General features: G+C 47.3%; 1 protein-coding gene across 25 annotated transcripts in view, besides 4 other annotated features; it reads right to left on the bottom strand.

The window, feature by feature from the left end:
- CUX1 (cut like homeobox 1) overlaps positions 1-15,135 on the bottom strand; it is a 467,952-nt gene that overhangs the window by 156,466 nt on the left and 296,351 nt on the right. For all 25 annotated transcript variants that reach the window (NM_001913.5, NM_181500.4, NM_001202545.3 and 22 more), the window contains one exon: positions 12,220-12,286. In NM_001913.5, the coding sequence (NP_001904.2) occupies positions 12,220-12,286 (67 nt within the window). The remainder of the gene's footprint in view (positions 1-12,219; positions 12,287-15,135) is intronic.
- Positions 1,720-2,272: an enhancer, noted in NCBI's record as "H3K27ac-H3K4me1 hESC enhancer chr7:101768501-101769053 (GRCh37/hg19 assembly coordinates)". NCBI's record gives its function as "activates a minimal SCP1, AML or CMV promoter by ChIP-STARR-seq in naive H9 embryonic stem cells {active_cell/tissue: H9 hESC(naive)}" and the evidence as "EXISTENCE:reporter gene assay evidence [ECO:0000049][PMID:30033119]".
- Positions 3,753-3,979: a silencer, noted in NCBI's record as "fragment chr7:101766794-101767020 (GRCh37/hg19 assembly coordinates)". NCBI's record gives its function as "represses an EF-1alpha promoter that drives an FKBP-Casp9 reporter gene in an ReSE screen in K562 erythroleukemia cells {active_cell/tissue: K562}" and the evidence as "EXISTENCE:reporter gene assay evidence [ECO:0000049][PMID:32094911]".
- Positions 7,817-8,316: an enhancer, noted in NCBI's record as "H3K27ac hESC enhancer chr7:101762457-101762956 (GRCh37/hg19 assembly coordinates)". NCBI's record gives its function as "activates a minimal SCP1, AML or CMV promoter by ChIP-STARR-seq in primed H9 embryonic stem cells {active_cell/tissue: H9 hESC(primed)}" and the evidence as "EXISTENCE:reporter gene assay evidence [ECO:0000049][PMID:30033119]".
- Positions 11,170-11,464: a silencer, noted in NCBI's record as "tiled region #1808; K562 Repressive non-DNase unmatched - State 15:Elon". NCBI's record gives its function as "represses a minimal TATA promoter and a strong SV40 promoter by Sharpr-MPRA in K562 cells {active_cell/tissue: K562}" and the evidence as "EXISTENCE:reporter gene assay evidence [ECO:0000049][PMID:27701403]".

Raw genomic sequence — 15,135 nt, 5'->3', positions numbered from 1 at the left:
TCATGCCTATAATCCCACTCAGCACTTTGGGAGGCCAAGGTGGGAGGATTGTTTGAGCCCAGGAGTTCAAAACCAGCCTGGGCAACACGGCAAGACCCTGTCTCTACAAAAAATACAAAACTGGCCTGGTGTGGGGTGCACACCTGCAGTCCTAGCTACTCGGGAGGCTGAGGTGGGAGGATCGCTCAAGCCCAGGAGTTGGAGGCTGCAGTGAGCTATGATAGTGCAACTGCCCTGCAGGCTGGGTGACAGGGTGAGACCCTATCTCGTAAAAAGAAAAAAAAGAAAAAAGAAAGCACTATATAGATCAGGGGTCCCCAGTCCCTTGGCCACATCTGTGGCCTGCTAGGAACTGGGCCGCACAGCAGGAGATGCGCTGCAGGAGGGAAGCTTCGTCTGTATTTACAGCTGCTCCCCATTGCTCTCATGACTGCTTGAGCTCTGCCTCCCGTCAGATGAGCAGCAGCATTAGATTCTCATAGGAGTGCAAACCCTACTGTGAACTGCGCATGCGAGGGATCTAGGCTGCACACTCCTTATGAGAATCTAATGCCTGATGATCTGTCACTGTCTCCCATCACCCCCAGATGGGACTGTGTAGTTGCAGAAAAACAAGCTCAGGGCTCCCACTGATTCTACATGATGGTGAGTTGTAGAATTATTTCATTATATATTACAATGTCATAATAATAAAGTGCACAATAAATAGAACGTGCTTGAATCATCCTGAACCGCGCCCCCCACTGCACTGGTCCATGGAAAAATTATCTTTCACAAAACTGGTCCCTGTTGCCAACAAGGTTGGGGACAGCTGTGTTAGATGATTTTGCCTAACTGTAGACTAATTAACGTGGGTGTTCTGAGCACGCTTAAAATAGGCGAGGCTAAGCTATGACATTTAGGTTAGGTGTGCTAAACACATTTTAGACTTAAGGTATTTACAAGTTACGATGGGTTTAGGGGACATAATGCCATTGTAAGGAACAATCTGTATAGAAAAAAAGACTATGGAAATAGGCCAAAATGTTAACAATGATCATCTTTGCTGTGGGATTATGAGTGATGATCTGCTTCCTTTAAAAAAAATCTTTGAGAATTTTCTAAACTTTGTATAGTAAACATGTATGGCTTTTGTACTTAAAAATAATGTCACGGGCCGGGCGTGGTACCTCACACTTCTAATCTCAGCACTTTGGGAGGCCGAGGCGGGTGGATCACTTGAGACCAGGAGTTCAAGACCAGCCTGGCCAACATGATAAAACCCCGTCTCTACAAAAAATACACACACACACACACACACACACACACACACACAGCCGGAAATGGTGGTGCACACTTGTAGTCCCAGGTACTCGGGAGGCTGAGGCTGGAGAATCGCTTGAACCCAAGAGGCAGAGGTTGCAGTGAGCTGAGATCGCACCACTGTACTCCAGCCTGGGCAACAGAGTGAGACTCTATCTCAAAAATAAAATAAAATAAAACATAAAAAAGGGAAAATAATGTCATGTAAAAGGAAACAGCCTATAATTCCAGCTACTTGGGTGGCTGAGGTGGGAAGATTGCTTGAACCCAGGAGGCGGAGGTTGTAGTGAGCCAAGATCATATCACCGCACTCCAGCCTGGGTGATAGAGTGAGACCTTGTCTCAAAAAAATAAATAAAATAAAATAAAATAAAATAAAAACAGCAGGACTGGCTGAGACTGCATGACAAAATTTTTTAAAAAATTATTTATGTATATTCATAAACATGTTTATATACATGGACACATGTACAGTGCCTTTTTTTTTTTTTTTTTGAGATGGAGTTTTGCTCTTGTCACCCAGGCTGGAGTGGAGTGGTGCGATCTCGGGAGTATTCCACAGGAAGGACGGTTCTCCTTTCTGCCAGCCTTCCCGCGTCTCTTCACAAGGTCCCTGGGTGGAACCGGGCAGCGTGAGGCAAGTCACTTTCTCCTCTGCCACTTCTGAAGCAAATAAGACGTGCTATGTCACTGAGATTTGCATGGCCAAGGCCCTCCCAGCGGCGGCCAGGGACTCCCCGTGGTGAGTCAGAACCTCATAGCTTTAAGGAATTTTACTGGGGGCAGAAGGTGGCGTGAATGTTCCAGGCTGGGCCTCCGTCCTAACTCTTCACTGTTGAAGCACTTGAAGGCTGGGTGGCGCCTGCTTTCTGCTTAGGAGCCAACAGCATCCTGAGTTTACCTTTCCAGAGCGCAAACGTCCTCATTGGGCAGGCTGCAGGCTGAACGCTACAGAGGCCGTTCAGCTCTGCGGTAACCCTGACCCACTCATCATCATGGGGAAGGCTCAAGAGTTCCTGGAGAGCCACGACGTGCTAAGCCTGTGGTGTACAGAGTGTGGGATAAAGCCGGTCTTTTGAGGTAGTTTTCAGTCAACACTTAAAAAATGGGGCCAGACGCGGTGGCTCATGCCTGTAAATCCAGCACTTTAGAAGGCTGAGGTGGGCAGATCACCTGAGGTCAGGAGATCGAGACCAGCCTGGCCAACATGGCGAAACCCTGTCTCTGTTAAAAATACAAAAATTAGCTGGGCGTGGTGCCCTGTGCCTGTACTCCCAGATACTTGGGAGGCTGAGACATAAAAATTGCTTGAACCCAGGAGGCGGAGGTTGCAGTGAGCCGAGATCATGCCACTGCACTCCAGCCTGGGCAACAGAGGGGAGACTCTGTCTCAAAAAAAAAAAAAAAATTTCTACTAACCAATTTTACAATATACCGGCATTAACTATAGTCACTGTCTAATACATCTCTCAAACTTATTCCTCCTGTCTACCTATAAATATGTATCATTTAACCAACCTCTCCTCACCCCCTGGTAACCACCATTCTTCTTAACTTTTATGTGATCAACGTTTTACATGAGTGAGATCTTGTGGTATTCGTCTTTCTGTGCCTGGTTCATTTCACTTAATGTAACATCCCCCAGATGAATCCACGTTGTTGTTGCAAATGGCAGGATTTCCTTTTGTAAGGCTCCATCATATTCCACTGTGGATCTACACATTTTCTTCATCCATTCATCTGAAGCTGGGCACATAGGTCACTTCCTCACCTAGGCTGCTGTGTGAACAGCGCTGTGATAAACGTGTGAGTGCAGGTATGCCTGCAACACAGCCATTTCCTTTCTTTGGATAAATACCCAGCAGTGACATTGCTGGATTGCAGCCTGCATTCGGCACTGCTGTGCAGGCTGCAGAAATGCCCGTTATCCACCCTGACCCCCACAATTTTGGGATGCAGGAAGGGGTGTGTCATGACACCCCCGTTTCACAGATCACCATATGTGCTACAATCTATACACTGTATTCACTCAACAGTCCGTTACCCATTTCCTTCACATATACACTGCAAGATCCCTAGGCTTACCTTAACAGTGAATCAGAAAAACTTTAAGGATCTCTTAAATAGGTAAAATCTGTAGGAATGCACGCCAAACCCAGGTGACAGTCTGTGAATAATGATTTTCTCTACCCTCTCAAAGGATGCTGGATGAATATGATTGCTTTATTGGCCAGGCGCGGTGGCTCATGCCTGTAATCCCATACTTTGGGAGGCCGAGATGAGTGGATCACTTGAGCTCAGGAGTTCAAGACCCGCCTAGGTAACATGGTGAAACCCCCATCTCTACTAAAAATACAAAAATTAGCCAGGTGTGGTGGTACACACCTGTGATACCAGCTACTTGGGTGGCTGAGGTGGGAAAATCGTTTGAAACCGGGAGGTAGAAGTTGTAGTGAGCCAAGATCGCATCACTGTACTCTAGCCTGGGTGACAGAGTGAGACCCTGTCTCAAAATCAATAAATAAAAAAAAGCAGTAGGACTGGTTGAGAGACTGTATGATAATTTTTTTTTTTTTTTTTTTGAGACGGAGTCTCACTCTGCCACCCAGGCTGGAGTGCAGTGGCACAATCTCGGCTCACTGCAAGCTCTGCCTCCCGGGTTCACGCCATTCTCCTGCCTCAGCCTCCCGAGTAGCTGGGACTATAGGCACCCGCCACCACGCCTGGCTCATTTTTTATATTTTTAGTAGAGATGGGGTTTCACTGTGTTAGCCAGGATGGTCTCAATCTCCTGACCTCATGATTCGCCCGCCTCGGCCTCCCAAAGTGCTGGGATTACAGGCATGAGCCACTGCGCCCGGCCGATAAAAATTTTTTAAAAACTGATTGCATGTTTATATTCACAAACATGTTTATATACATGGCCACATGCACAGTGCCTCTCTTTTTTTTTTATTTTTGAGACAGAGTCTAACTCTATTGCCCAGGCTGGAGTGTAGTGGCGCGATCTCAGCTCACTGCAACCTCTGCCTCCTAAGTTCAAGCAATTATCCTACCTTAGCCTCCCGTGTAGCTGGGATTACAGGCATGCGCCACCACACCCAGCTAATTTTTGTATTTTTAGTAGAGACGGGGTTTCACCATGTTGGCTGGTCTGGTCTTGAACTTCTGACCTCAGGTGATCCACCCATCTCGGCCTCCCAGAGTTCTGGGATTACAGGTATGAGCCACCGTGCCCGGCTGCCTCTCTATTTATGTGTACGTGTTTTTGAGTACAGAGTGTGTGAGCCTGTGTGTGTGCATGTGACGTCTGTAAGCCCCCTCCCACCCTGTCCTTACTCTATCGTTCCAGCACCTGACACCACACCTACCACAGTAAAGCAGCCCTTCCCTAAACATCAATGAAGGAGAGGAGTAAAGTTTGGCAATTCTCACTGATGCTTTGCAATAGACATGTCTATTACATGTCAATTACATTTCCTAGCCATGTCTGGGGGCCACAGAACTGGCAAAGAATCGTCAGCGCTCAGAGGAATTTCTACCTGGACTTGGAACTATGAAGCCACCCCCTTGTTTTTGTCTAGCCCCCAACCTGGGGAGACACCAGGTCATGGTTGTACTATTCAGAGGGGGCCAAGACAGCTGGTGTTACTACAAAAGACAAGGAAAATCCTTCAGGGCTCACCCAGGCATCAATTTTTAGGTGTGGAGCAAAATACTTGTACAGAGATGAAAAATCCCAAGAATTCTACAAAATCCACAAGCCCCTTTTGGAGATAAGACACAGGAAGAAAAAAAAAAAAGGCCATCGGTTTTTCCCTGCAAGTCTGATTTAGTGCTCTCTAAGGTTTAAAGGACAGGAGGTTCTTTATTCAAGTCCATACTCTGAAAACCATAAAAGTGGCTGCTTCTCTATTTTTAGGGAAATTAATCCAACCAGGGTAATTACAGCAACTCGTACTGGAAACTGATGACTCATCAAAAAGACAGGAAATAGAAAATTTTACATTCTTAAAGGTACAGCAGACAGACTCTGTTTTCAGGATGCTTAAGTTGTCCCTTTCAAATTCAATCAGGGGATGCAATATTTGTCTAAATATGATGGTCAAGACAGCTGGGTGATTCTCAGGTTTACTCAACCGGGCTCTACCTGGCCCCAGTTCTGTGAGTCTTTCATGAGGAATTATTGTTCAAAAAGGGAAAAATCAATCTGCTATGGTAAATACAACGGGGGCTTGTGAGGCTGGGAAAGGCTGAACCCCCCAGGAACGCCTGCCTTCACCTGACTAGCCCTCACCTTTGCTGCTTGATTACAAAGCTGGCACCAGAAAGGGGCTTTGAAGACCGCCGTGGTCTCAAGCAAAAAGCACTGGAATTTGAGCCTAAAGGACCAGGTCCAGGGCCTGAATCTGCGTGTTCCTGGGACTGCTTCCTCATCCATGCAATGAGCACAATAAAAGCTGCCCCAGTGACTTCAGGAAAGGGCAAACAAGATAACACTCAGGAAATCATTGTGAAATAGTCCAGAACAGTATGTAAACAAAGTATCCATCCCAGCTGCTCACACCTGTCATCCCAGCACTTCAGGAGGCCAAGGCGGGCAGATCACTTGAGTCTGGGAGTTCGAGACCAGCCTGGCCAACATGGTGAAACCTCGTCTCTACTAAAAATACAAAAATTAGCTGGGTGTGGTGGCAGATGCCTGCAATTCCAGTTACTTGGGAGACTGAGGCAGGAGAATCGCTTGAACCCGGGAGGCGGAGGATGCCGTGAGCCAAGATCGTGCCACTGCACTCCAGCCTGGGCAATAGAGCGAGACTCAGTCTCCAAAAAAAAAAAAAACCAAAAAGCAAAAATTAGCCAGGCATGGTGGCACAAGCCTGTAATCCCAGCTCCTCCAGCAGCTGAGGCAGAAGAATCACTTGAACCCGGGAGGTGGAGGTTGCAGTGAGCCATGATCGCACCACTGCACTCCAGCCTGAATAACTAACAGAGACCCTATCTCAAAAAAATAAAAAATAAAATAAAAAGAAAGTATCCATCCCACCCACATTTGCCATGCAGACTTGTGTCTTGAACTGCTGGTATCCTCCTCCCCTCCTTTTAAAAATTATTATTATTATTTTTAGAGATGGGCTCTCGTTTTGTCACTCAGGCTGGAGTACAGTGATGCAATCATAGCTTACTACAGGCTGGAACTTCCAGGCTCAAGCGAACCTTCCAACTCAGCCTCCCAAGTAAATGGAACTAAAGGCACAACACCATGCCCAGATAATTTTTGTATTTTTTGGTAGAGGTGGGGTCTCACTATGTTGCCCAGGCTGGTCTCAAACTCTTGGGCTCAAGTGATCCTCCCACCTCAGTCTCCCAGAGTGCTGGGATGATAGGCGTGAGCCACCATGCCCAGCCTCCTCCCCTTTTCAAATTCTGTCTTATGTCCTCCTTTGGGATCTGGAGTTCTCTATCCCTCCAAAGAAGCGTAGAGGCTCCCCAGTGCTGAGTTAGCTACGGGAAAGTTTTCTGCTGTTTCAGAGCACGTTGTATTTTGTGATAAAGTACTGGTTATATACATGTTATAAAGAAAATACTCTAAAATTAACCTAAGTGAAGTTCCTCGTAAATGTCTCTTTTGTAACCGTACTATGTAAGTATGTGTATACACAATGTCGTTCTTTGAAAAAAGCATATAGGCTAGGAATACAACATGAGTAACCTTAAGAAATACGAATTTTACTGGCAGGAAAGGTTTGGGAGGTGCAAATTCTCCTAAGACTAACATTAGCTATAAAAAATGTAGTATTTCAGTGCGATTCAATATTTTCTTTCATCGAGGCTCAGTGCCTCGGCCCACGAGTGGGGAGGAATGCAAGAAGCTGACTGTGTGTATTGCAGCTGGAACTCCTTTTCCAATCCAGATTCTTGGGGACAGGGCATAGGATCGTGGACTTCAGCAAAAATGGGAATTCCTGCATTTTTGCCCAGAACACTAGCCGCTTGGCTGGGAGGGCGACATTCCTGCTGGAGGGTGCAGTAGCAACCCAAACCCAAGATCAAGTAAGTGAACAGCTGCAGGAGACGGATGCAGGAACTTGGGGCAGTGAGGGATGCCCAGGCCTCTCTCTGGGCTGCCTACTGCTGCGTGATTCCAGGGATCTGCCACCTCCACGGCCATCCATCCCAAGGAATTGTTTAGATGTTAAAATCCACAGCACGTTCCTTTGCTAGAGTCTCCAAGGTTAAGGCTATTAGGGTGGTAAATCTCCATTTGCTAAGAGAAGCGGGAAGATCCGTACACAGGGTGACCATCTGAGAAGGAGCTATGTTTTTAACTAAAGAAAAAAGAATGTCAGGCGTAGTGGCTCATGCCTGTAATCCCAGCACTTTGAGAGGCTAAGACGGGAGGATCACCTGAGGCCAGGAGTTTGAGACCACTCTGGGCAACACAGTGAGACCCTGACTCTAAAAAAATTTCAAAAAAGAAAAAAAGGGCAGAAATAATTCATTTATTTAACCCAGAAATGGTTATAATCGGAAACCTTGCAATCCTCTTACACAACAACTGTTTTGGCAAAGCCCCCATGTTCCAACAAATATTAAACTGTGCTTGCCATTTGTCTAAGGAATCTTGCATTAATAAACATGAAGAAGAACACTTTTACCTCCCACTCTCAACGACAGGACAAAACAAAGACCAGCTGTATTCATCAATGGGCCCTTGTTCTGCACATAAAGGCTAATTACATTTTGCTTCAAGCCTACACATGGAAAACTTTACTGCCGTTGTCTGCCACAGTCAGCCCGTGCTGTCCCAGCTGACGCATGGCGATGACTGCTCACGATAAACCGGGGTCTCGGAGCAGCCTCAGTACCACAGACCTGCGGGCTTCTCTCCAAAACGGGAGAGGGATGGGTACCCTGTGACATCTCCCCACGACAGACAGACAATGTGGGCCCAGTCCGTCGTGGTGATGCGGTGAAAGTCAATTTCCTCCAAGGCCGTTAATTTCAGAAACGCATACCACGCCCTGCTCTGAGCTTGCTGGGAATAGCTTCTATCTCTCGACAGCTTAGCCTCAGACTCTCACCATGCCAGGTGCTATACACACACATCCCATTCCTGCCTCTTCAAAACCACCTAGCATGCTGGGTGCAGTGGCTCACGCCTGTAATCCCAGCACTTTGGGAGGCTGAGGTGGGCGAATCATGAGGTCAGGAGATCAAGACCATCCTGGCTAACATGGTGAAACCCCGTCTCTACTAAAAATACAAAAATTAGCTGGATGTGGTGGCGCACGCCTGTAATCCCAGCTACTTGGTAGGCTGAGGCAGGAGAATCGCTTGAACCCAGGAGGTGGAGGTTGTAGTGAGCCAAGATCGTGCCACTGCACTCCAGCCTAGACGACAGAGCAAGATTCCATCTCAAAACAAAACAACAACAACAACAACAACAAAAACCACCCAGTGACTTGACTTCCGGTATGCCCATTGTACAGGTCAGAAAGGGAGGTGGACAGCTCATAGCTCATTCAGGGTCACGCAGAGAGCTCGTAGTGGACCCTAGTGAATCAATCCCAAGTCAGTCTTTCTCCAAAACCCATCTTCCTTCATGCCTCTCCAATTCCCGTCAACAAATATTTAAGAATCCCTTTTTTTTTAGACAGGGTCTTGCTCTGTCACCCAGGTCGCAGTGCAGTGGTATAATTAGGCTCACTGCAGCCTCGACCTCCTGGGCTCAAGCGATCCTCCCACTTCAGACTCATAAGTATCCAGGACTACAGTTAGGAGCTACCATGCCAGGATAATTTTTGTATTTTTTGTAGAGACAGGCTTTTGCCATGTTGCCCAGGCTGGTCTTGAACTCCTGGGCTCAAGTGAGCCGCCCGCCTCAGGCTCCCAAAGTGCTGGGATTACAGGTGTGAGCCACCGCGCCTGGCCCTAAGAATCCCTCCTTCAGAAGAGGGAAAATAAATTGTTTTTGAAATGCTGTAAGACCATATGTGAAAAGATTTGCCCCAAGGGGCTTATATTCACAAACATGAATGAAAACGTGTCTGGTCTAATAAAATACATGTAGGTTGGACTTGAAGCAGACGGAATAGTGACAAATCTGTCCTGGAAAATAAAAGGGGAGGCAAAGGCAGTGGGGGAGGTCTCAGAATGAGCCCATGGCCTCCAAAGTTAAAAGAAAGTAGCCAAGATCCAATTCTCTCAGGCCATTCTCTGCATTTTTGGGGGATGACTTACTCTGGGAACTATTACATTACGTGGTTGGTCCTAGGCTGCCTTTGTCAGTGTCCAGACCGTTTCTGATGTGGGAAATGCCCCACCAGGCTGCCCCATCCTACCCCACAGGCAAATCGTTCGGAACCTCTGGCAGGTCCTCCCCAAGACAGGCTTCGCCAGGCTTGCATCTTCACAAACCTCTGCAAAACCTGACTTGACTCATCTTCCAATCCCGAATCCCATACCACCCTCTTTAGGAAGGCTTCCTCGACAATTCTTTCCCTGCGCTCCCCTGATGCTAGGGATGTACTATGCCCTTCCCCAGCTCCCCTGGCTGGTGGGAGGAGAGAGGGGATCAGTTAAGGGGTCCCTGGCGCTGCCCTGGGTCCCTCTTCCCTCCCCAAGGCCACGGCTCCCCTCGAGGGGGCCCTCACCTTCAGTCTCTAGCTACCTTTCCCCGCTCTGGCTCATTCAAACCCAGGCGTGGAAACCCTGCCGGTACTATGAGCCTAGGAACTGCACCTCTGCAAATAGGCCCAATATTGACCTTTTTTTTTTTTTTTTTTTTTTGCGATGGAGTCTGGCTCTGTAGCCCAGGCTGGGGTGCAGTGGTGCTATCTCGGCTCATTGCAATCTCTGCCTCCAGAGTTCAAGCGATTCTCCTGCCTCAGCCACCTCAGTAGCTGGGGTTACAGGCGCACGCCACCATGCCCAGCTGATTTTTATATTTTTAGTAGAGATGGGGTTTTGCCATGTTGGCCAGGCTGGTCTCGAACACCTGACCTCAGGTGATCCACCTGCCTCGGCCTCCCAAAGTGCTGGGATTACAGGCGTGAGTCACTGCACCCTGCCAAACTTTCTTCTGACTATCCCAATGGGAGTGCCCTGCCTGCCACCTGCAGGCTCCCTGTCTGACCTGCTGACCGTCAGCGCCCTGTCCCCTTGATTGCAGCACTGGGCATGCTGGATTGCAATGGCCTGTCTCCCCATGGAGCCGTAACAGTCTCAGAATTTGCACAGGGCGAGGCACAGAGGAAGCCTCTGTGAATGTCTGTTGAATCAATGAATGAATCTATTATCTCTGAGCCATGCCTATCATCTAACCGAGTGAGTCTCTCTCCCTTCATGCACACCACACCCCTCGGCCTGGCTCACCACTGGGGAGACAAGAATGTTTCTTACTTCAGAGGGCAGGTGGGGCGCACCCCAAGAGAGCCACTGCCCTCTCAGCTACAGTCCTGAGACAGGGCTAATTTTTATGTGAAGGACAATCAGCCCCTGACATGTTTTTTAAAACTAAAACAATATTTTAAAAATTTTTTTAGGGGCAGGGTCTTGCTCTGTTGCCCAGGCTGGAGTGCACTGGTACGATCACAGCTCACTGCAGCCTCAACTCCTGGGTTCACGTGATCCTCCCACCTCAGGCTCCCAAGTAGCTGGGACTACAGGTGCACACTGCCATGCTCGGTGAAATATAGTAAGTTTTAAAAATCAGATTTACTGAGAAAAACAACCTACTTAGTGCAAGTAAGTAAGTTGCTTAATCAGGTCCAAGCAGTAATTGAGAGAAGAGAGTAGCTGATCTAGTGGTGATGTTTTAGTCTTTGTAAGTTTCATACTCATGATCAGAATCCATTCTGACCACCAGGCTACGAAGCTGGGCTCTCGAGGTCTCAGGCTACTAAATGACCCAGAGCAAAGGGCCAAGAACCCCACACAGCATCCTGAAAGCAACAGACCCAGCAGCACCCTCAAAGCCCAAGGTCACGTGAGATGGGGCAGAGGGACAGTAAGTGCCGGCACCCCATACAGAGGTGGAGCCTGGTGGGACAGCGGCGCCATTCAGAAGTACCCGTCTTCTTGCCGATGCCCACGGAGGCACTGTGTGAGCAGAGTGCGGGGACCTTTGTAACTGGAATAGGGAAACCCAAGAGACATGGCAGTAAGCACGCGTGTGTGTTTCCGCGGAAGATGGGAAGAGCCTTCCAGAACAGGAAAAAGTGGTTCAAACTCTAGCCTGGCATTGCTCCCCGGGAGTTTGGTAGAGGAGGCAATGGCTAGGAGCAATTTCTGCCATTTCTTCATCTTTTCATGATTTATGTCAATTATTATTTCTTCCTTGCTGGTGTTCTGCATGAAAGATGGGCGGGTAAAAAGTACACTTGTAGTGGACACCTCTAATTTCCTTTGGACAAGAGCTGGGTAGGAATTGGCCTTTTGTGACTCTGCCTGCCCGAATCTGTGTCTATCCGTATATCCACACCTAGCGTTGTTAGGTGTGACATGAACCCCTATGCCTGCGTGGGAATGTGCTTATTCTGGGGCAGGCCTTCCTAAAGGGCCCTGGGAGAAATGAAGAACTGTGGCCCAGCGAAAAAGACATGTGATTTACCCAGACTCAACTCCACACAAAAAATGTCCCATGTGTCACATCTTATATAAACTAACTCCCAAATTTTCATGGCAGAAGGCATAGCAGTGACCAGCCTTCACAATAAAGAAGGAAAGAAGTTTGTTGGAAGGATTACCCAGTGAGTGCTAGAACGTGCATTGAACCGACGCAAGTAACTCATGGGAAATACACTGTGTCCCTGCAGCAGCACAGAGGTCAAGAACCTTCTCGATCCTGCCCTACTCAAGCAAAATCAGGTGAGAAATGTGTACGGATAAGGGAGGCCAAGCAGAGAGACTTACTTTGCAGTAGTTTCTTCATCGTATTTGGTTTTCAGGTCAAATAATTCTGTTCGAGTTTTTTCCAGGGCTGAAAGGCAAAGAATTACTAACTATTTAAATGAAATTTTAAAAGAATGCATACACAGGTAATCTATTCCCATTTCAAAAGAGGCAAAGATTTCTGTGAGGAGCGAGGTGCGTGGAAAAATAAAGATTAAAAACACACAAAAGAGGCCAAGATGATGAAAATACAAAAAATGGAATAGGAAATCCCCCTTCATTTCTGCCTCATCTAATCCCAAGCACCTACAAAGACAGAACCAATGTTAATAGTTTCCTCCCTCCCTCCCTCCCTTCCTTTCTTCTTTCCCACTCTCCCTTCCTTCTTTCTTTCTTTCCCTTCCATTTTTAAGAGACAAGTTTTCTCACTCTGTCACCCAGGCTGGAGTATAATGGCACAATCACAGCTTACTGCAACCTTTAACTCCTGGGCTCAAGCCATCCTCTTGCCTCAGCCTCCCAAGTAGCTGGGACTACAGGTGCAAGCCACTACGCTTGGCTAATATTTTAAAACACTGTTGTAGAGACAGGGTTTTGCTATGTCGCCCAGGCTGGTCTGGAACTCCTGGCCTGAAGTCATCCTCCCACCTTGGCCTCCCAAAGGGCTGGGATTACAGGTGTGGGCCACTGTACCTGGATGATTTCATGTTTTAAGGTGTATTTTATTATTTCTGGTTGGGCGAGGTGGCTCACACTTTGGGAGGCTGACACGGGCAGATCACCTGAGGTCAGGAGTTTGAGACCAGCCTGGCCAAAATGGCGAAACTCTGTCTCTACTAAAAATACAAAAATTAGCCAAGCATGGTGGCGCATAGCCTGTAATCCCGGCTACTTGGGAGGATAAGGCAGGAGAATCACTTGAACCCTGGAGATGCAGGTTGCAGTGAGCCGAGATCATGCCACTGCACTCCAGGCCTGGGTGACAGAGCGAGACTCATTTCAAAAAAGTGTAACAAAATAAAAGAAAGTGTATTTTACGTTAAGAAAAAATTTTCCATACATAATTGCATGTATATATGTGTGTGTATATATCTTTTTTTATTTTCTACCCCCATAAATGGGACGGTATGAATATTTCTTGAGACTAGCCTTTTTCCCTGGGCAGTATGGTATGGGAGTCCTTCCACATGTGGACCCAGGCAGTGGCAATAACCTTCAGTTCTCTCATCAGGATACCTGGAAGTGAAGCTGCTGGCTGAACAGCTTGGGCACTGGAGCTTTACATAAATGCCACCCAGCTGGCCTCCCAAGAGGCTCCTTCCATGCCCATCCATTCCATAAGTGCCACTTCACCGTCACCAACACTGGATGTTTCAATAATTTTTGACAAGTCTTTGTCAGGCCAGAATTGCTATATTTTTTTTAAAGGCCAGGTGCGGTAGCCCACACCTGTAATCCCCCAGCATTTTGGGACACTGAGGTGGGAGGATCACTGGAGGCCAGAACTTCAAGACCAGCCTGGGCAACACAGTGAGACTCCATGTCCATAAAAGAAATAATGAAAAAAAAAGTAGCCATGTGTGGTGGTGTTTGCCTGCAGTCCCAGCTACTTGGGAGGCTGAGGCAGGAGGATCACTTCAGCCCAGGAGTTTGAGGCTGCAATGAGCTATGATTGTATCACTGCTCTCCAACCTGAGCGACAGAGAGAGACCATGTCTCTAAAATGAAATAAAAAATTAGGCTGGGTGCAGTGGCTCATGCCTGTAATCCTAGCACTTTCGGAGGCTGAGGCAGGTGGATCACTTGAGGTCAGGAGTTCGAGACCAGCTTGGCCAACATGGCGAAACCTCGTAAAAATACAAAAATTAACCGGGCATGGTGGCATGCGCCTGTAACGCCAGCTACTCGGGAGGCTGAGGCAGGAAAATCACTTGAACCTGGGGCAGAAGAATCACTTGAACCCGGGGAGCAGAGGTTGCAGTGAGCCGAGATTGTGCCACTTCACTCCAGCCTGGGCAACAGAGCAAGACTCCGTCTCAAAAATAAATAAATAAATAATTAAAAAATGCTGTCAGTCTGACAGGCAAAACAGTCTTTCACTAATTGAATCTGCATCTCCCTGACTGTAAAAAAAACTTTGCATTTTTTCATATGTGTAGTTTCCATTTGCATTTCTTCTGTGAACTGACTGTTCATATCCCTTGCTTATTGTTCGACTGCACTGTTTCTCTCCTTTAATGGATTGATTTACAGCCTTTACATTTTTTAATTATCCGTTTGTCAAATTTGTGGTGATTATTTTCTCCCACTCTCGTCATTTGTGTTTTAAGTTGAATTATGACTTCTGATGTCTGTCTACATTTAAATAATCTGCTCAGTTCTGGGTCATCAAAAAAAATAATAAAAATTTAAAAATACATTTAAATGAAATACATGGTGATGCTTCTCTTTCAGAAATAAAAAAGAGAGGCTGGGTGTGGTGGCTCACTTGAGCTCAGGAGATACAGACCGGACTGGCCAATGTGGTGAAACCTCATCTCTACTAAAAACACAAAAATTAGGCGGGTATTATGGCGGGCATCTGTAATCCGACCTACTGGGGAGGCTGAGGTGGGAGGATTGCTTGAGCCCACAGAGGTAAAGGTTTCAGTGACCTGAGATCACACCACTGCACCCCAGCCTGGGTGACAGAGCAAGACCCTGTCTCAAAAAAAAAACAAAAACAAAACAAAACAAAAAAAGAAATAGAGAGAGGGCTGGGCGCGGTGGCTCACGCCTGTAATCCCAGCACTTTGGGAGCCTGAGGTGGGCGGATCATGAGGTCAAGAGATCGAGACCATCCTGGCTAACATGATGAAACCTCGTCTCTACTAAAAATACAAAAAATCAGCCAGGCATGGTGGTGGGCGCCTGTAGCCCCAGCTACTCGGGAGGCTG

The sequence above is a fragment of the Homo sapiens genome, chromosome 7, assembly GCF_000001405.40.
Source record: "Homo sapiens chromosome 7, GRCh38.p14 Primary Assembly".
Lineage (NCBI taxonomy): Eukaryota > Metazoa > Chordata > Mammalia > Primates > Hominidae > Homo > Homo sapiens.
Note: the sequence above shows the minus strand (reverse complement) of the source record. Positions and strands in the feature narration are given on the sequence as shown.